Genomic DNA, 20,776 nt, shown 5'->3' on the forward strand with positions numbered 1-20,776 from the left:
CTGGATATTAGCCCTTTGTCAGATGGGTAGATTGCAAAAATTTTCTCCCATTTTGTAGGTTGCCTGTTCACTCTGATGGTAGTTTCTTTTGCTGTGCAGAAGTTCTTTAGTTTAATGAGATCCCATTTGTCAATTTTGGCTTTTGTTCCCATTGTTTTTGGTGTTTTAGACATGAAGTCCTTGCCCATGCCTCTGTCCTGAATGGTATTGCCTAGGTTTTCTTCTAGGGTTTTTATGGTTTTAGGTCTAACATTGAAGTCTTTAATCCATCTTGAATTAATTTTTGTATAAGGTGTAAGGAAGGAATCCAGTTTCAGCTTTCTACATATGGCTAGCCAGTTTTCCCATCACCATTTATTAAATAGGGAATTCTTTCCCCATTTCTTGTTTTTGTCAGGCTTGCCAAAGATCAGATGGTTGTAGATGTGTGGCATTATTTCTGAGGGCTCTGTTCTGTTCCATTGGTCTATATCTCTGTTTTGGTACCAGCACCATGCTGTTTTGATTACTGTAGCCTTGTAGTATAGTTTGAAGTCAGGCAGCATGATACCTCCAGCTTTGTTCTTTTGGCTTAGAACTGTCTCGGCAATGCAGTCTCTTTTTTGGTTCCATATGAACTTTCAAGTAGTTTTTTCCAATTCTGTGAAGAAAGTCATTGGTAGCTTGATGGGGATGGCATTGAATCTATAAATTACCTTGGGCAGTATGGCCATTTTCATGATATTGATTCTTCCTATCCATGAGCATGGAATGTTCTTCCATTTGTTTGTGTCCTCTCTTATTTCATTCAGCAGTGGTTTGTAGTTCTCCTCGAAGAGGTCCTTCACATCCCTTGTAAGTTGGATTCCTAGGTATTTTATTCTCTTTGAAGCAATTGTGAATGGGAGTTCACTCATGATTTGGCTCTCTGTTTGTCTGTTCTTGGTGTATAGGAATGCTTGTGATTTTTGCACATTGATTTTGTATCCTGAGACTTTGCTGAAGTTGCTTATCAGCTTAAGGAGATTTTGGGCTGAGACAATGGGGTTTTCTAAATATACAATCATGTCATCTGCAAACAGGGACAATTTGACTTCCTCTTTTCCTAATTGAATACCCTGTATTTCTTTCTCCTGCATGATTGCCCTGGTCAGAACTTCCAACACTATGTTGAATAGGAGTGGTGAGAGAGGGCATCCCTGTCTTATGCCAGTTTTCAAAGGGAATGCTTCCAGTTTTTGCCCATTCAGTATGATATTGGCTATGGGTTTGTCACAAATAGCTCTTATTGTTTTGAGATACGTCCCATCAATACCTAATTTATTGAGAGTTTTTAGAATGAAGGGCAGTTGAATTTTGTCGAAGGCCTTTTCTGCATCTATTGAGATAATCATGTGGTTTTTGTCTTTGGTTCTGTTATGTGCTAAATTAAAAGACACAGAATGGCAAATTGGCTGAACTAATTTAAATACACGCCAGTAGTATATAAGTGTTCCTTTTCTCCACAGCCTCACCAACATTTGTTATTTTTTGGCTTTTTAATAATAGCCATTCTAATTGGTGTAATTGATGTGAGATACTATCTCATTTTTTTAAATATGAATTTCTCTGATGATTAGTGATGTTGAGCATTTCTTCATATATTTGTTGGCCATATGTATGTCTTCTTTTGAGAAGTATCTATTTATATCCTTTGCCCATTTTTAAGTTATTTGTGTTTTGGTTGTTCCATTGTTTAAGTTCTTTATAGATTCTAGATATTAGACCTTTGTTAGGTGCATAGCTTTGCAAATATTTTCTCCAAATCTGTAGGTTGTTCGTTTACCCTGTTGTTAGCTTCTTTCACTGTGCAGAAGTGCTTTCGCTTAATTAGGTCTCACTGGTCAATTTTTGTTTTTGTTGCAATTGCTTTTGAGGACTTAGTTATAAGTTCTTTCCCAAGGTTGGTAACCAAAATGGTGTTTCCCAGGCTTTCCTCTAGGATTCTTATAGTTTGAAATCTTACATTTAATTATTTATTCCACCTCGAATTAATTTTTTATATGTTGAAGGGTATGGGTCCAGTTTCATTTTTCTGTACATCGCTAACCAGCTATACCAGCACCATTTTATTGAATAGAAATTCCTTTCTCCATTGCATATTTTTGTCAACTTTGTTGAAGATTAGATGGCTGTAGAGGTGCAGCTTTATTTCTTGTTCTCTATTCTGCTCCATTGGTCTATGTGTCTGTTTTTGTGTCAGTATCATACCGTTTTGGCTACTGTACCCTTATGGTGTAGTTTGTATTCAGGTAGTGTGATGCCTCCAGCTTTGCTCTTTTTGCTTAGGACTCCTTTGGCTGTTTGAGCTCTTTTTTCATTCTATATGAATTTTAGAATTTTTTTTCTAATTCTGTGAAAAATATTATTGGTACTTTGATAGGAATAGCACTGAATCTGTAGATTACTTTGGGCAGTAAGGCCATTTTAACAACAGTGATTCTTCTAGTCCATAAGCATGGAATGTTTTTTCATTTGTGTTGTCTCTGATTTCTTTTAACAGTGTTTCCTAATTCTCCTTGTAGAAATCTTTCTCTTCCTTGATTAGCTGTATTCCTAGGTTTATTTTCATGTGTGCAGCTATTGTGAATGAGATTGCATTCTTGAATTGGCTCTTGGCTTGAACATCATTGGTGTAGAGAAATGCTATTGATTTTTGTACACTGATTTTGTATCCTGAAACTTCACTGAAGTCATTTATCAGCTTTAGGAGCCTTTGGGTGGAGTCTTTAGGCTTTTCTAGGTATACAATCGTATCATCAGTGATGAGAGATAGTTTGATCCTTCATTTCCTATTTGGATGCCTTTTATTTCTTTCTCTGGCCTGATTGCTCTAGCTAGGACTTCCAATTGTCTTCATTTAAAAAAACTCAATATCTTTAGATTCCATAAAAAATTTCTTTCTTTTTGTAAGTAACTCATATTTATTTTTGAAATAATTTTTATTAGAAGTATTTTTAGTATGTGGGAACAACTGGTGTTGGTGTTATCAATCACTTGATTAATTTATTCATAAGATATCTTTGTTGAAAATATAAATATTTAAAACAGTGACCCAAACCTCTAAGGGAAAAACATAAACTGTGGCAAAAACAACAGAAAAGAAAGAACACTTAAATAAAATAATAGAAGTAACATACATGTAATCTGAAATTATACCAATGAAAACTAGTGCATAATTTTCAATATATAGAGGATCCATTTATATATTTCAGAAAACTGACATTAGAAAATAAAAGGGGTTAGAATATGCCAGCCAGAATTAAAGTGAAAAAGCTAAAGATTCCTTTTGTCTCTTGAATCACAAGCTCTTATCTGCAAAATGTCACAGCGAAAATTTCTGCCAGTATTAAATGGGATCTTGGTGAGCCTCATTTAATATCTCTATTCATACTCAAACAAAATGTTTTTAAGTAATGGAGATGAATATTATGGTTTTAAATCACAAAAAGTTAACAATACTGAATCATATTCAGTACTGAAAGCACCTTAAACTTGAAGTATGATTCTTTTCATAATGACATATGGTTTTCAGAAAAATAGCAGAAACTGACATTCTAGAAAAACAAAATGAGTGATTCACACCCCAGTAAAATCTAATATCACTTCCAGGATATTAAATACTTCATGTGCCAAGTTAGTCATAGATTCTGGCCTTACTTCAAGAGGTACTACTGATATTCTTAGTTGTTTTGCTTTTTATTTGTTTTGTGTGTGTGTGTGCATGGGTTTTTTTTTTAAATTCTAATGAATCCATAAAAATTTATCCACATATGAAGAATTCATAATGAAACAAACTTATTGCATCTGATTCATGAATCTTCATGGAATTGACATGAAGACTTGGCTTTAGAGATCTCTAGAACTCCCAACTAAAACAAAAATAAATTACTTCTAAATTATCTACATTATTTGCCTTCATAGTTGTGTGATAATTGCAGGATCTCGGGGCAATATCCTTGCAAATGCATCTAGTCATGTTCTTGGATGTCTTTATTTATTAAATAACCTATTATACTCAATTTAACACACATCTCTCAAGTATGTGTACCTGGCTCTGTGATAATTGTGAAGGATTAACAAGACAATAAAATATAGCTGACTCTTGAACAACATGGGTTTGAACTGTGTGGATCCACTTATAGCCAGATTTTGTTCAATAAAAGTTACACCTAGTGTGCCTATCTCTCCTGCCTCTTCTTCTACCTCCTCCACCTCTTTTTCCTCTGTCACCCCTGAGACAGCAAGACCAACCTCTCCTCTTTCTCCTCCTCCTCAGCCTACTCAATGTGAAGAGGATAAGAATAAAGACCTTTTGTGATACTCCTTTTCCACTTAATGAATAGTAAATATATTTCCTCTTTCTTATGATTTTCTTAACAACACTTTCTTTTCTCTAGCCTACCACTGTGAGAATACAGTTGTACTACATATAATACGCTAACTAAATATATGTTAATTGACTGTTTGTGTTATTGATCAGACTTCCAGTCAACAGTAGTCTATTAATTAAGCCTGGGGGGAGTCAAAAGTGATACACAAATTTTCAACTGTGTGGGGTGCCAGTGCCCATGACTCCTTCAAGGTTCAGCGCTATGGTCTCAAGTAGCTCACACTCAGGTTGACAGACAGTAAAGTCAACATTACAACAGAATTTGGCAAGTGCCCTAAAATAAAAAGAAATGGGATTCTAGGAGAGAAGGAAAAGAAAGTTCAATGTCTCCCACATTTAGCTAAAATCACCTTCCCCCAAATGTACGTACTTTAGATATAAGTCATACCTTTCAGTCCAGAGGAAATAAGCATCCTTCCATGCAAGGGGTTCTTAAATTTTGTTGTTACTTTTATTTGTTTGCTTTCTTGCTTGTTTTTATCTTTTGGCCTAAAAGACAAAACATCAATGTCACCATCTTCTACTAAATCTCATCAACTGTTTCTCAAATTAAAAGATAACTGCATCTTATTCTCTTTTGAACATACATTTTGTTTCAAGATCCTCCTTAAAACATGATTAACAAAAGTAAACACAATACTATGTTAAAATATGAATATATAATGCTATAAACAGTTACAGATATTATTTTTTTCTGTACTTAGGGTTGTAATGCTATAATCAACCAATTTTTTCCTTACAATTATTTTTTAAGTGTAGCAAGACCCTGTAAGTCCAGTGAATTTTTGTTTGCTTGCTTTTAAAAAATAATTATTTCTATTAGATTATGGCATATTTTAATCTGTTTAAAGATTTTACAACTAAATTCTGACACCAAATATTAACTCTCCTATCAGATTTAGAGATTTCATTAACGTTACTTCTATTTTCATTCAGGCAATAATAAAAATGCTGATTAATATAGTTAAGTACAGGGTCTTCTGGAATTCTGGGGTAGCATACAGTAAATGTCTCCAGAGAAATACTTACCAACTGTTTGCTGCTGAAGAACCCACTCCAATTTAAGGCAGTGTGTACTAAAGGGGTCCCTGAGACTCAAATTGAACTTTTTAAGACTCTAACCTTTTTAATTCACTTATAGGTATTTTCATTCCATCTTTAGTACAAACCTATGAGACAGATCTATTATTAAGCTATTTCACCAAAAAGGAAACCAAGACTGCATAACTTGCCTAACTTGCATGGTCATGCAGTTGATTGACAGACTAAGAGACTCAAAGGCGATGCATTGATTCCCAGGAAACAATTATTCAATCATTTATTATTCACCAGATTGTTCTATGACTATATGTCCGTGATGTTTTAAGACATTTTAATATGGATTTTTACAATCAATACCTATACTACACACACCTGAATGGCTAAAACTTTAAAAATTGGAAAAACCAAACACTAGCGAGAACATGGGGTCAGGGGAACTCTAATGTATGCTGTGTGGGAATGTACCATACAATATTTTCCTTCACTTTGAAGAAGAGGCTTGGGATTTTACATTTGATATATAAAATCATATATACCAAATATTTTCACTGTAACCAAGGAGTTTCCTGCCTAGAAATTTACTCAAGAAATTGGAAAACTATGCACAAAAAAAGTTTGTAATAAGAATATTCATGAAAGCTTTATTCTTTGTAATGAAAAACTGAAAACTGTCCAAGTTTCTACAGAGAGCAATAAACTGTGGTGCATTCACACTGAAATATGACTCAGTAATAAAAAGGAATGAGCTACTGATAAGTCAAAAAACAAGGATGAATCTCATAAATATGCAGAGTGAAAGATGCTTTTCCAGAAGGTGATGTATAGTAAAAAAAATGCATTCCCCTATTTTATTGAGAAAAAGGAAGTTATACTCTATACCATAGTTTGCTTTTTTGTTTTTGCCGTTTTTTTAAAATTTTTTTATTTTTTTCACACATATGGGCTATCTTTTGTTCTGCTTTTTATTTATTTATTTATTTATTATTATTATACTTTAAGTTTTAGGGTACATGTGCACAATGTGCAGGTTAGTTACATATGTATACATGTGCCATGCTGGTGTGCTGCACCCATTAACTCGTCATTTAGCATTAGGTATATCTCCTAATGCTATCCCTCCCCCCTCCCCCCACCCCACAACAGTCCCCAGAGTGTGATATTCCCCTTCCTGTGTCCATGTGTTCTCATTGTTCAATTCCCACCTATGAGTGAGAATATGCGGTGTTTGGTTTTTTGTCCTTGCAATAGTTTCCTGAGAATGATGATTTCCAGTTTCATCCATGTCCCTACAAAGGACATGAACTCATCATTTTTTACGGTTGCATAGTATTCCATGGGGTATATGTGCCACATTTTCTTAATCCAGTCTATCATTGTTGGACATTTGGGTTGGTTCCAAGTCTTTGCTATTGTGAATAGTGCCACAATAAACATATGTGTGCATGTGTTTTTATAGCAGCATGATTTATAGTCCTTTGGGTATATACCCAGGAATGGGATGGCTGGGTCAAATGGTATTTCTAGTTCTAGATCCCTGAGGAATCGCCACACTGACTTCCACAATGGTTGAACTAGTTTACAGTCCCACCAACAGTGTAAAAGTGTTCCTATTTCTCCACATCCTCTCCAGCATCTGTTGTTTCCTGACTTTTTAATGATTACCATTCTAACTGGCATGAGATGGTATCTCATTGTGGTTTTGATTTGCATTTCTCTGATGGCTAGTGATGGTGAGCATTTTTTCATGTGTTTTTTGGCTGCATAAATGTCTTCTTTTGAGAAGTGTCTGTTCATGTCCTTCACCCACTTTTTGATGGGGTTGTTTGTTTTTTTCTTGTAAATTTGTTGGAGTTCATTGTAGATTCTGGATATTAGCCCTTTGTCAGATGAGTAGGTTGCGAAAATTTTCTCCCATTTTGTAGGTTGCCTGTTCACTCTGATGGTAGTTTCTTTTGCTGTGAAGAAACTGTTTAGTTTAATGAGATCCCATTTGTCAATTTTGGCTTTTGTTGCCATTGCTTTTGGTGTTTTAGACATGAAGTCCTTGCCCATGCCTATGTCCTAAATGGTAATGCCTAGGTTTTCTTTCAGGGTTTTTATGGTTTTAGGTCTGACGTTGAAGTCTTTAATCCATCTTGAATTGATTTTTGTATCAGGTGTAAGGAAGGGATCCAGTTTCAGCTTTCTACATATGGCTAGCCAGTTTTCCCATCACCATTTATTAAATAGGGAATCCTTTCCCCATTGCTTGTTTTTCTCAGGTTTGTCAAAGATCAGATAGTTGTAGATATGCGGCGTTATTTCTGAGGGCTCTGTTCTGTTCCATTGACCTATATCTCTGTTTTGGTACCAGTACCATGCTGTTTTGGTTACTGTAGCCTTGTAGTACAGTTTGAAGTCAGATAGCGTGATGCCTCCAGCTTTGTTCTTTTGGCTTAGGATTGGCTTAGGATTGACTTGGTGATGCGGGCTCTTTTTTGGTTCCATATGAACTTTCAAGTAGTTTTTTCCAATTCTGTGAAGAAAGTCATTGGTAGCTTGATGGGGATGGCATTGAATCTATAAATTACCTTGGGCAGTATGGCCATTTTCATGATATTGATTCTTCTTACCCATGAGCATGGAATGTTCTTCCATTTGTTTGTATCCTCTGATTTCATTGAGCAGTGGTTTATAGTTCTCCTTGAAGAGGTCCTTCACGTCCCTTGTAAGTTGGATTCGTAGGTATTTTATTCTCTTTGAAGCTATTGTGAATGGGAGTTCACTCACGATTTGGCTCTCTGTTTGCCTGTTATTGGTGTATAAGAAGGCTTGTGATTTTTGTACATTGATTTTGTATCCTGAGACTTTGCTGAAGTTGCTTATCAGCTTAAGGAGATTTTGGGCTGAGACAATGGGGTTTTCTAGATATACAATCATGTCATCTGCAAACAGGGACAATTTGATTTCCTCTTTTCCTAATTGAATACCCTTTATTTCCTTCTCCTGCCTAATTGCCCTGGCCAGAACTTCCAACAGTATGTTGAATATTCATACTGGCCCTTAGTATGTGCTTTACTCTTTTCCAAGGGCAACTCTGAAACAATCTAAGTAGCTGACATCAAGTTCTCCCACATGTGTTTTACCTTTTTTAAAAAAGTGAATTATTTCCATGGATCCTAGTCATCTATCTTATTCTTCATGGTTTTCAGCAATTGCCAAACTGGATTCTAGCCGTTCTTTCCTTCTGTACTGGGGCGTTTGGCCTGGAGATCTCTGAGGTGGAGGTGCTGGCATTGAGAGCTCTCTCGTTACTTCCTCAGCTACATTGGGACTTAAACAGCATCTTATCTTCCTTTAACAGTTTCAGTGAGACAAACTCCCTGCATGAATAGGACAAAAGCAAAACAGCAGTTAAGTTGTTCTGTTAACATTATACCATCTGTTGCAAGGAATGGAACTCTCTCTTCCTTGTTCCTCTTCCTGCTTTTGAACCTAGTAAAAGTGTTCTTTTTATTGTTCCTCACATATTTTCCAAGGCTCAGATTATTTTTTATTAGCCTTCTTGGCACTGTTACAGTTTCATGCAACTCTTAAATTTGTATTTATGTGTGAGCGCCTTCTCCTTTTTTTTTTCTTCTTTCGAAATGTATAATCATCAAAGAATCCCCCAAAGTCACAGAGCTTTCTTTAGATAATATCAGATTTTCTTCTCTTGAGACATTTTTTTATACAGACTCTAACAATGCAATTCCTCACCATTTCTCTACATTTTTTTTCCCTAAAAAACAAACAAAGATCAACTATGATTAGAAACTTGAAAGGGTATATGCAGTCAGAATTGGAGTGAACTATGACAAATAGAACACTTTCATAACTATACCTCCCACCATTACTCACCATTCAAACTAATGGTGTGATATTTTCTCTCTAAAATGATAAAATAGTCTGTTAGTTTCATGATTTCTTGGTGAATTATTTCTTTCTCTGACAATGACTAAGGAATTTTCCACATAACAAGAAAGGACTTAACTATGTGTTCCTATGAAAATAGGTCTATGGAGTGTTCTAAGAAAATAAATGCACACAATTTTAATATAATTTAAACAACAAAAACAGAATAATGATGTTAAATTCCTGTTTTGTTTACCTGAAGGTCATAATTGTTTTAAATACTGTGTACCAGGGTCATGATATTATTTTCAATGACATGACATGTGTTGGATTATGTTCGGGATTAAATGTTAACATTATACAGATGATGCAGAATTATGTGAAACAGAAAATTAAATAATGAACAAATAGGCAGTATAGGGTAAGTAGTGGTAAGACTCCTTTTTACTCATGCTAAACAGAGACTCAGGTGAAATCCGTGGGCAGGATTTAAACTTTTCAGTTAATTTGTGATGTGGTTTGGAACATAGCAATTTCATTAAAATTTAGATGAAAGAAGTCCCTCCCACCTCCACAGTGACATATCCAGTTGTATGTGTCTCAAATACACCACCACTTCCTCCATGTAGGTAACTGAGATTGCTACCATAGCCTGCTAATTGGCATCTCAAGCATCCGTGTCTCCATGTTCTATCTCTCCACAGTGCTCGAGAGAATAAATATGAACCGAATTCCCAAGTGGGCATCTTTTCACAATCTTTAAACAATTTCCTATCCTCTTTAAACAATTCCATTCCATGTAGCCTGCTCTGTAGACACTGAGCTTTTGTCCTTCAACATAGTTAAACATACACATAGTTAAACATATACATAGTCAAACATTGTTATCATTTGACATTACAGGGGTAGTCTTGCAATCAGAAAAAGCAAATCCATGTTGTACTTAGAAAAGGGTGAAACACCTATCGCAAATGCTTCTGACATCTCCATTATTTCGAGGAGTACCATTATTGTCATCAATATAAAGGCACTGAGTGTTCTTCAGCATTTCTTCTCCCCTAGAGATGGACTGAGAACTTATAAGGAGAAACTTACATGTGTAGCCAAGCTCCTTTGAGTCTGATCACTCATGGGAGCTGGGGTGTACTGAAAAGAGTACACTTTCTGCCCCACTCCTTTTAAGCCATTTGTTTGTAAAGACAGGTTGTCATACAGTGGTCCAACTCTACAAATGATTTGGAGAATAGGTCTATATACTTTTCGGTTTCTATATTAGGAAATCCATTTGCCTGCAAATAAAAGAACTGCCTTAATTTGGCACTTCCTGAGTAATGAAAATGTAATTATATTTCCACATATCTTCTATTTTATTTATATTCATTAATTGGCTCAGAAATTAAATTAATACAATGGTTATTTAATGAATTCTCTTTCAATCCCCATTTCTCATTTGTTTTCCATAAATGTTGCCCATAGCACAGATAGTATATTGTTCCCTTATATATTATTATATGTTCTTTAGTGATGTTTGGATTACAGTGTTCTTGCAATTTTGTTCTTTCTAAGTCTCTCTCTCTTCCTCTCTCTCTCTCTTTCTCTCTGTCTCCCTCCCTCCCAGCCTCCCTCTCTCTCTTTCCTTCTCTTTCTCTCTCCCTCTCTCCTTACTCTTTCCCTCTCTCCTTTCATGATTATTTAACAGACAATTTGTACTGGATGCACCACCATGGCAAAGTCTGACACTCTAAAATATTATATCTTGGTTCTTCCTGTGTGAAACTCACACTATTTTTGGATTTATAATTATGTAAAAGTCTGAAAGAAGTGAATATTATCTCTTTTTTATTTCTAAAATGTTTGTTTCTGAAAGTGTAAAAGAGGATTGATGCTATTTAACTTATCTCAAGGTAATATCAATTTTAAAAATGTACAAAAATTGAGGTCAAAATAAAAGGTTGTATGCCTATAAAGAAATTGACAAACAGGTTGCTCCTTTAGCATTGAAAGTATCTCAAAATGACTAGACGGGATTTCCATTATGACCTATGAAAGGTTACATAAGATCTCACTCCCACTATAAACATCAAAAACATGGACAAGATACATGTGAAAAGAAGTATTTTCAGATGTTGGAAAACACACCATGCAGTGCTGTAGACTCTGAAGGAAGAAAAACAAGAAAAATGAGCTCTGTGAGTTCAGTTTTTAGGTTTCAATATAGGAAAGCAGACCTCAAACAAAGACTGTGGTTGCACTGAGTTGAAGAGACAAAAATGGCAGTCCAGGTAGAATGTGGCAGCTAGAATTCGTGTGACAGTGCACCCGAGAGGAGGGAGCCATTCCACAGGAAGAGAGAGCTCTAGCTTTCTGCAGTTATTCATTCCAACAATTCTTTGGCTGAATGCTGAGATGCACATATGTGGGATAAAATTTCACAGGATATAGGAAATAATCAACAACAAGCAGAAAACTGGATAATTAATTAGACCTCAAATAAGATTGAAGTAAGTTGAATTCCTACCAGCCAGAGTAGACAGACCACATTATGCAAGGAGCCCTGGCTAGAATGCTCAGAAAAACATTGCTTTAATGGAAAATTCACAGACTGGGGGGTAAATATGCATATATCTGATAAAGAACATGTATCAAACATATACAAATAACTCCTGAAACTCAACAGTAAACAAATAAGCAACTCAATTAAAAAATAGACAAAAGATCTGGACACCTCACCAAAGAAGATACACTGATGACAAACATATAAAAAGATACTCAATATTATATATCATTAGGGGATTGCAAATTAAAACAACAATGAGATACCACTAAACACCTATTATAATGGCTAAAACTCAAAACCCTGTGTGTTAGTTTGCTAGGGCTGCCATAACAAATTATGGATGGCTCAAAAACAAGAAATTTATTTTCTCATACTTCTGAAGACTAGATGTCCAAGATAAGGTGTCAGCAGGGTTAGTTTCTTTTGCGGCTTCTCTCTTTGGCTTATAGATGTTTACCTTCTCCTTGTGTCTTCTCACAGTATTCCTTCTGTGTCTGTATTCTGATCTTCTCTCCTTATAAGGACACCATATTGAATTACAGTCCACTCTAATTACCTCATTTTATTCTAATTACCTTTTTAAAGACCCCACCTCCAAAAACAGTCAGATTCTGAGGTACTGGTTGTTAGAACTTCAACACATGAATCTTAGGGGAGCACAATTCGGTCAACAGCACCTAGACAACACCAAATGCTGGTAAAGATGTGGGGCAACGGGAACTCTCACTCATTGCTGGTGGGAATGCAAAATGGTACAGCTGCTGTGGAAGACAGTTTGGCAGTTTATGACAAAACTAAACATATTTTTATGTGATCCAGCAATCATGCTTCTTGGTATTTATCAAAATGTGTTGGAAATTTATGTCCACATAAAAATCTGCACACGGATGTTTATAGCAACTTTATTCATAGTTACCAAACTTGGAAGCAACCAAGAAGTCCTTGGTGAATAGATGAATAAACCATAGTACATCCAGACAGGGATGTACACAGCACTAAAAGGCAATGAGCTATAAAGGCATGAAAAGATGTAGAGAAACCTTAAATGCATACTGCTAAGTGAAAGAAACCAATCTGAAAAGGCAACACACCATATCATTCCAACTATATGACATTTTGGAAAAGGCAAAACCATAGACAGTAAAAAGATTAGTGATTGCCAGTGATTGATGAGAGAGAAGGAAGAATGAATAGGGGAGCAGGGAATTTTTAGGAAAGTGAAACTATTCTGCGTGATAATATTGTCATGTGTGAAAAATCCATAGAACTATATAATACAAAGAAATTGTAACATAAACTGTGGAATTGAGTTAATGATAATGTTTCAGTATTGGTTCAACAATGGAAGTGAATGTACTGCAGCAATGCAAGATTGCAATACTAGAAGAAACTGTGTGCATGTGTTAAGGAAAAAGGGGTAAATGGGGACTGTACTTTCTCTACAATTTTTCAGTAAACCTAAAACTGCTTTAAAAAATAAAGTCTATTTTTAAAATATTAAAACAGTAAAACCAAAACAAACTGCTAAATTTGATGTATGAACTTAGAAAAGCAGTAGGATATAATGGATATTTTTAAAAATTTACTGTATTCCTATATACCAGCAATCAATATTTTGAAACTGAAGTTTTTGCATTAGTGTGATCTGGATGTGAAACATGCAGTCAAAGAATATCATTTTGGAGCTTTAAGATTTGACTGCCCTGTTGAATTTTGGATTTGCATGGGGCCTGTAGCCACATTGTTAAAATCATAACACAGGAATAAAGATCATAACACAGGAAAATTTTCATTAAAATCATAACACAGGAATAATTTTCAAACAGTATATTCAAGATCTGTACAGCAAAAACTATACAGTTTCATTTGGACAAAGTATTAGTCTGTTTTCATGCTGCTGATAAAGACATACCCAAGGCCAGTTGTGGTGGTTCATGCCTATAATCCCAGCAGTTTGGGAGGCCAAGGTGAATCTATCACCTGAGGTCAGGAGTTCAAAACCACCCTGGCCAACATGGTGAAATCCCATCTCTAATAAAAATACAAAAATTAGCCAGGTGTGGTGGTGGGCACATGTGGTCCCAGCTACTTGGGAGGCAGAGGCAGAATTGCTTGAACCTGGGAGGCGGTGGTTGCAATGAGCCAAGATCATGCCATTGTTCTCCAGCCTGGGCTACAAGAGTGAAACTCTGTCTCAAAATAAATAAATACATAAAAATAAAAAAATAGAGACATGCCTGAGACTGGGTAATTTATACAGGAAAAAGGGTTTAATGGACTTACAGTTCCACGTGTCTGGGGAGGCTTCACAATCATGGTGAAAGGCAAGGAGGAGCAAAGGCACTTCTTACATGGATGGCAGCAGACACATAGAGAACTTTTGCAGGGAAACTCCCCCTTATAAAACCGTTAGATCACATGAGACTTATTCACTATCACAAGAACAGCATTGGAAAGACCAACCCCCATGATTCAATTACTTCCCATCAGGTTCCTCCAATAACACATGGGAATTCAAGATGAGATTTCGGTGGAGACACAGCCAAACCATATCATTCTGCCCCTGTCTCCTCCCAAATCTCATGTCCTCACATTTCAAAACCAATCATGCCTTCCCAACAGTCCCCCAAATTCTTAACTCCTTTCAGCATTAACTAAAAAGTCCCCAGTCCTGAGTCTCATCTGAGACAAGGCAAGACCCTTCTTCCTATGAGCCTGTACAATAAAAAGCAAATTAGTTACTTTCTAGAGACAATGGAGGTACTTGCATTGGGTAAATGCAGCCTTTTCAAATGGGAGAAATTGGCCAAAACAAAGTGGCTAGAGGCCCCATGCAAGTCCAAAATCGAGCAAGGCAGTCAAATCTTAAAGCTCCAAAATGATATCCTTCGACTCCATGTCTCACATCCAGATCATGCTGATGCAAGAGGTGGGTTCCCATGGTCTTGGGCAGCTCCCCACCCTGTGGTTTTGCAGGGTACAGTCTCCCTCCTGGCTGCTTTCATGGGCTGGCATTGAGTGTCTGCAGCTTTTCCAGGTGCACAGTGCAAACTGTCAGTGGATCTACCATTCTGGGGTCTGTAGGATGGTGGACTTCTTCTCACAGCTCCACTCGGTGGCCCCAGTATGGACTCTCTGTGGGGGCTCCCACCCCACATTTCCCTTCTACACTGCCCTAGCAGATGTTCTCCATGGAGGACCCCACCCCTACAGTAAACTTCTGCCTGGACATCCAGGCATTTCCATACATCCTCTGAAATCTAGGAAGAGGTTCCCAAACCTCAATTCTTGACTTCTGTGCACTCAAAGGCTCAACGCCATGTGGAAGCTGCCAAGGCTTGGGGCTTGCACCCTCTGAAGCAACAGCCCAATCTGTACCTTCCCCCCTTTTAGTCATGGCTGGAGCAGCTGGGATGCAGGTCACCAAGTCCCTAAACTGCACACAGCAGAGAGACCCTGGGCCCAGCACATGAAACCACTTTTTCCTCTTAAACCTCAAGGCCTGTGATGGGAGGGGCTGCTACAAAGGCCTCTGACATTCCCTGGAGACATTTTCCTCAATGTCTTGGTGATTAACATTTGGCTCCTCATTACTTATGCAAATTTCTGCAGCCAGCTTGAATTTCTCCTCAGAAAATGGGATTTCTTTTTTTATCGCATTGTCAGGCTGCAAATTTTTCAAGTTTGTATGCTCTGTTTTTCTTTTAAAACTGAATGCCTTTAACAGCACTCAAGTCACCTCTTGAATGCTTTGCTGCTTAGAAATTTCTTCCACCAGATATCCTAAATCATCTCTCTCAAGTTCAATGTTCCACAGATCTCTAGGTCAGGGGCAAAATGCTTCCAGTTTCTTTGCTAAAATATAACATGAGTCACCTTTGCTCCAATTCCCAACAAGTTTCTCACTTCTGTCTGAGACCACCTCAACCTTAATGTTATTGTCTATATCACTATCAACATTTTGTGCAAAGCCATTCAACAAGTGTCTAGGAAGTTCCAAATTTTACATTTTCATGTCTTCTTCTGAGCCCTCCAAACTGTTCTAACCTCTGCCTGTTACCCAGTTTCAAAGTCGCTTCCACATTTTTGGGTATCTTTTCAGCAGTGCCTCACTCAACTGGTACCAACTTACTGCATTAGTCCATTTTCATGCTGCTGATAAAGCTTCATGAAAGTATATCAGACTGGGTAATTTATATAGAAAAACAGTTTAATGGATTACAGTTCCATGTGGCTTGGGAGGCCTTACAGTCATGGCAGAAGGCAAGGAGGAACAAGTCACATCTTACATGGATGGCAGCAGGCAAAGAGAAAGCTTGTGCAGGGAATCTCCCATTTTTAACACCATCGGATCTCATAAGACTTATCCACTATCATGAGAAGAGCCTGTGAAAGACCTGCCCCCATGATTCAATTACCTCCCACCAGGTTCCTCCCACAACATGTGGGAATTCAAGATGAGATTTGGGTGGGGACACAACCAAACCATATGAGACAAATAAAATATAAACTAAATATATACTATGTTCATTAGTAGAAGACTCAATACTATCAACATGTCAATTTGTCCAGAGTAATCTGTGGATTTATGAAATTTAAATAAAAACAGCAGAGATACTTTTGAAGAAATTAACAATATTGTTTTAAAACTTAGGTGAAAATGGGAATGACAAAGAGTTGCCAAAATGAAATAAAATAAAAAGGTAAAAACAAAAATTGAAGCATTTACTGTATTTTAGATGGAGTCTTGCTCTGTTGCCAAGTACAGTGGTGCTATCTCAGTTCACTGCACATCTGCCTCCTGGGTTCAAGCGATTCTTGTGCCTCACCCTCCGAAGTAGCTGGGACTACAGGCATGTGCCACCACACCTAGAAAATTTTTGTATTTTTAGTAGAGATGAGGTTTCACCATGTTGGCCAGGCTGATCTTGAACTCCTGGCCTCAAGTGATCCACCCACCTTGGCCTCCCTAAGTGCTGGGATTACAGACATGAACCACCACACCTGGCCAGTTTACTGTACCTTTAAGAGTAATTATGAAACTACATTAAGCAACATGATGTGGTATTGGCATACAGATTAACTTTAGGTAAATAGAATAAAACAGAGTTTAGAAAGAGATTTTTTACTTATGTGGTCAACTGATTTTCACTAAGTTGTCCAGGTAATTACATGAAGACAGAATAGTCTTTGACAAATTCTGTGGGAAAATTTTTACAGGTGAAAAAATAAATACTATCACTTATTTCACAACATAAACAAAAATTTGTGCCAAAAGAATCATAGATCTACAACTTAAACTTAAAACTATGAATTAGTTTTAGGCTTCTACCTACTCCATGGAGTGGGAGGCCTGGGTCTGCAGCTGCGGTTTGGGCAGCTGCAACTGCTCCTGGGGAGCTCCCACCCCAACATGGTAGGGATGGGGCTCCCACTGGCTCCATGGAGTGTGCAGCCCCAGCTGTGCCTCCCTGGTGTAGCCAGCATGATGGCAGCGACAATCTCTCTGGAGCAGCCACTGCCGTCATAAGGATAGGTGCAGCAGATTGACCACAAATGGACATAAGGGAGCTTTTCAGGGTGATGGAAATATTCTATGATTTATTTGTGGTTGTGGTTACACTGTCACAATATATTTGTCAAAATTCACCAAATTGGACTCTTCAAATTAGTGAATTTTATTGTACAAAATGTGTGACTGCTAATATAATTAAATAGTATAGATTATAAAAAATAATGAAAAGTTCTGGTACTACCTGTGAGCCAGCTGTGTTTTGAAATTATCATTCATCCTCCTATATTTCATCTATAAAATGGCACTAAAATTGCCTTCTTCATCTGCTCTAGCTATCTTTAAAAATTTTGTCTCAATTTTTACATCATGAACCTTTCATGAATGTGCCTTATAAACTATAAAATACTCCTTTAAACACGTTTTGATTATTGTGTAATCTGAGTAGTCAGGTGTTACATGAGTAGTTGAATAAGATACTTTGAGCTATGTTTGTGCTAATGGGAAAAGCTGGCTATGTGGCAATCATTCATTTTCCATTTATTTCTCACATTTATACAACTGTTCCCCTTATTACAGCCACAGTTATTATTTTCCAACACCTTCATCTCTGAATGCCTGTCATCATTTCCTTTCCAATTCGTTTGAGTTAGGTCCTTGTTTTAAAAAGTTATCCCACTCATGATCCCATTGCTTGAGAGTACCTGCTGCTTTTCCTTGGTGACCAATAGCTCATCCATGGATTTCCTTTTGTTCAGTGAGCAAATGTTGAACCCCTACAGAAAGGCAGGCACTGTGCTAGATTCAGGGGATACATAGGAGGATAAAAGTTTTTCATGCATTTTTTTCACAGAATTGCTTTTACTACACTCCAATTACTTTCCTATTCCACTACTATAAGCTTTGTTCAAACTTCTATTATTTTTGCCATTTCCTCTTAACAGGAGCCCTATCTTAAATAATGTCCCTGAGGGTCACCCCACATATCTAACTGAAGCACCTTTCTGTTTATTCCATTTTTATGTTCCAAAACATTCAAAGACTCCCTTCTGCCTATTGATGCATAATGATCCAGTGGAAAGAAAACTATCTTTGAATCAGATAAACCTGAGTCTAAATCTTGATGCCTGCTGAATGACTCTGTACAGTACCACATCTTTTCCAATCCTCAGATTCTTTGTTTGTATAAAACCAGTAATAATACAGATATTATACATTTAAAGAGCTTGAGACAATGTCTAGCACTTAGAGTAGCTGTCCAATAAATCACAGTTATTATTAAAAAACAAATACTCTGCAAGTCTTAGTTTATTCTTAAAATCTTGCTTAGCCAGGTTTGAACCTCCAAATAGTTCTTCCGCCCAGTCTCCAGTGTTAGAAAAGCATCATATGGAGTATTTTATACAACCATCAAAACTTCAGCAACACAGTAAATGAGCTACATCTTGGCTCAAGGGGTACTTAAGATCTCAAGGATCTATACAAGAAGAGAGGTGGCAGCTACAGGCAGCAATACCAAACAATTTAAGAAATAAGATTTGTGAAATCATTATCTTCCTATCTTGAGGTTTTTTTACGACTTTGCTCATGGTGGAAAATTCAATTCACATTTAAATTAAAATTTGATTTTGTGAAGTAGCAGAATACTTTAGTTTTACATTTATGTTATCACATTAGCACATCATTTTGTAGTCTGAATCCAGTATTTTTTTCAGGTTAAAACTTTTATTTTGTTCATTAAATTTTAGATTCAGGGGTACATGTGCAGGTTTGTCAAATGGATGTAATGTGTAATGGTGATATTTGGGATTCCATCAAACCCATCACCCAAATAGCAAACACAGTACCCTTGGGCAGTTTTTCAGCCCTTGCTCCCAGTCTCCCCTTCCTTGGAGTCCCCAGTGTCTACTGTTTCCATCCTTATGTGTGTGTAATCATTGTTTAGCTTCCACTTATAAGTGAGAACATGTGGTATTTGATTCTCTGTTTCTGTGTTAATTCACTTAGGATAATGACCTGCAGCTGTATCAACGTTGCTGCAAAGGACATAATCTCATTTGTTTTCATGGCTGTGTAATATTTCCTTGTTAATATGTACCACATTTTCTTTATCCAATCCACATTGATGGGAATCCAGGTTGGTTTTGGTATTGTCAATCGTTAACAATACCAAAATACAAGTGAGTACAGGTATCTTTTTGGTAGAACATTTTTTTTTCCTTTTGGTAGATACCCAGTAGTGGGATTGCTGGGTCGAATGGTAGTCTTATTTTTGTTGTTATTTGAGGAATCTCCAAGCTCCTTTCCATAGGGGCTGAACTAATTTACATTCCCACCAACAGTGTGTCAGTGTTCCCATTTCTCTGAGTCCTCACCAACATGTTATTTTATGACTTTTTAATAGTCATTCTGACTGGTGTGAGATGATATCTCATTGTGGCTTCAGTCTGCATTTCTCTGACAGTTAGTGGTGTTAAGCATTTCTCTTTTCATGTTTGTTGGCCACATGTATGTCTTCTTCTGAGAAGTCTGTTCATGTCCTTCGTCCACATTTTAATAGGGTCATTTGTTTTTGTTGTTGTTGATTTGTTTAAGTTGCTTATAGATTATGGATATTAGTCTTCTGTTGGATGCATAGTTTACAAATATTTTCTTCCATTTTGTAGGCTGTTTACAATTTTGATAGTTTATTATGGCTGTGCAAAATTTCTATAGTTTAATTAGGTACCAATTGTCAATTTTTATTTTCGTTGATTTTGCTTTTGCTTTTGAGGTCTTAGTCATAAATTCTAGGCCAATGTCCAGAAGAGTATTTCTTAGGTTGTCTTCCAGGATTTTTATAGTTTGAGGTCTTATATTTAAGTCTTTAATTCATCTTGAGTCATTTTTTTGTGAGAGATAGGGGTCCAGTTTCAGTCTTCTGCTTATTGCTAGCCAGTTTTCCCAGCATGAATTTGGATGTTTTAAGACTTAAAAAATAATTTTCTATTTTGTAAAGCAAATTGATTTGTGTGTAGATAGGCTCCATTACATCTATACTGACTTTGTTCTTTCTTAGTAAAACATATTTTAATTTCCTGGAACACTGTGTCTTTGTCGGAAAGTGGTGTGTGGCAGATGAACAGACAGAAAAGATAGGGAATGAGAAATGGGGACTGCGACAACGGGAGCTGCAGGAAACATCACACAAATATAAATTCATCTCCCACTAGAGGAGAGATAGCTTTAAAGAATAGAAATTTCATTGTATATTCACCTTGTTTTAAGATGTATCCTTATATAAGTATCATTTAATCAGAATGGAAAGATTTACTTGCTTTGTGGTAATTGTGTTGCTGGGACTTTGAGTAGAAAATGGAGTCTATCCTGAGGAGTGAATATC

At 36.7% G+C, this 20,776-nt stretch overlaps 1 long non-coding RNA gene across 1 annotated transcript in view; it reads right to left on the minus strand.

The window, feature by feature from the left end:
- The window catches only part of LINC00571 (long intergenic non-protein coding RNA 571), a 92,416-nt gene extending 87,516 nt beyond the window's left edge, over positions 1-4,900 (minus strand). The window contains exon 1 of the long non-coding RNA NR_047500.1: positions 4,800-4,900. This is a non-coding gene — a long non-coding RNA (long intergenic non-protein coding RNA 571). The remainder of the gene's footprint in view (positions 1-4,799) is intronic.
- Between the last annotated feature and the right edge of the window lie 15,876 nt (positions 4,901-20,776).

Source organism: Homo sapiens, chromosome 13 (genome assembly GCF_000001405.40).
Source record: "Homo sapiens chromosome 13, GRCh38.p14 Primary Assembly".
Lineage (NCBI taxonomy): Eukaryota > Metazoa > Chordata > Mammalia > Primates > Hominidae > Homo > Homo sapiens.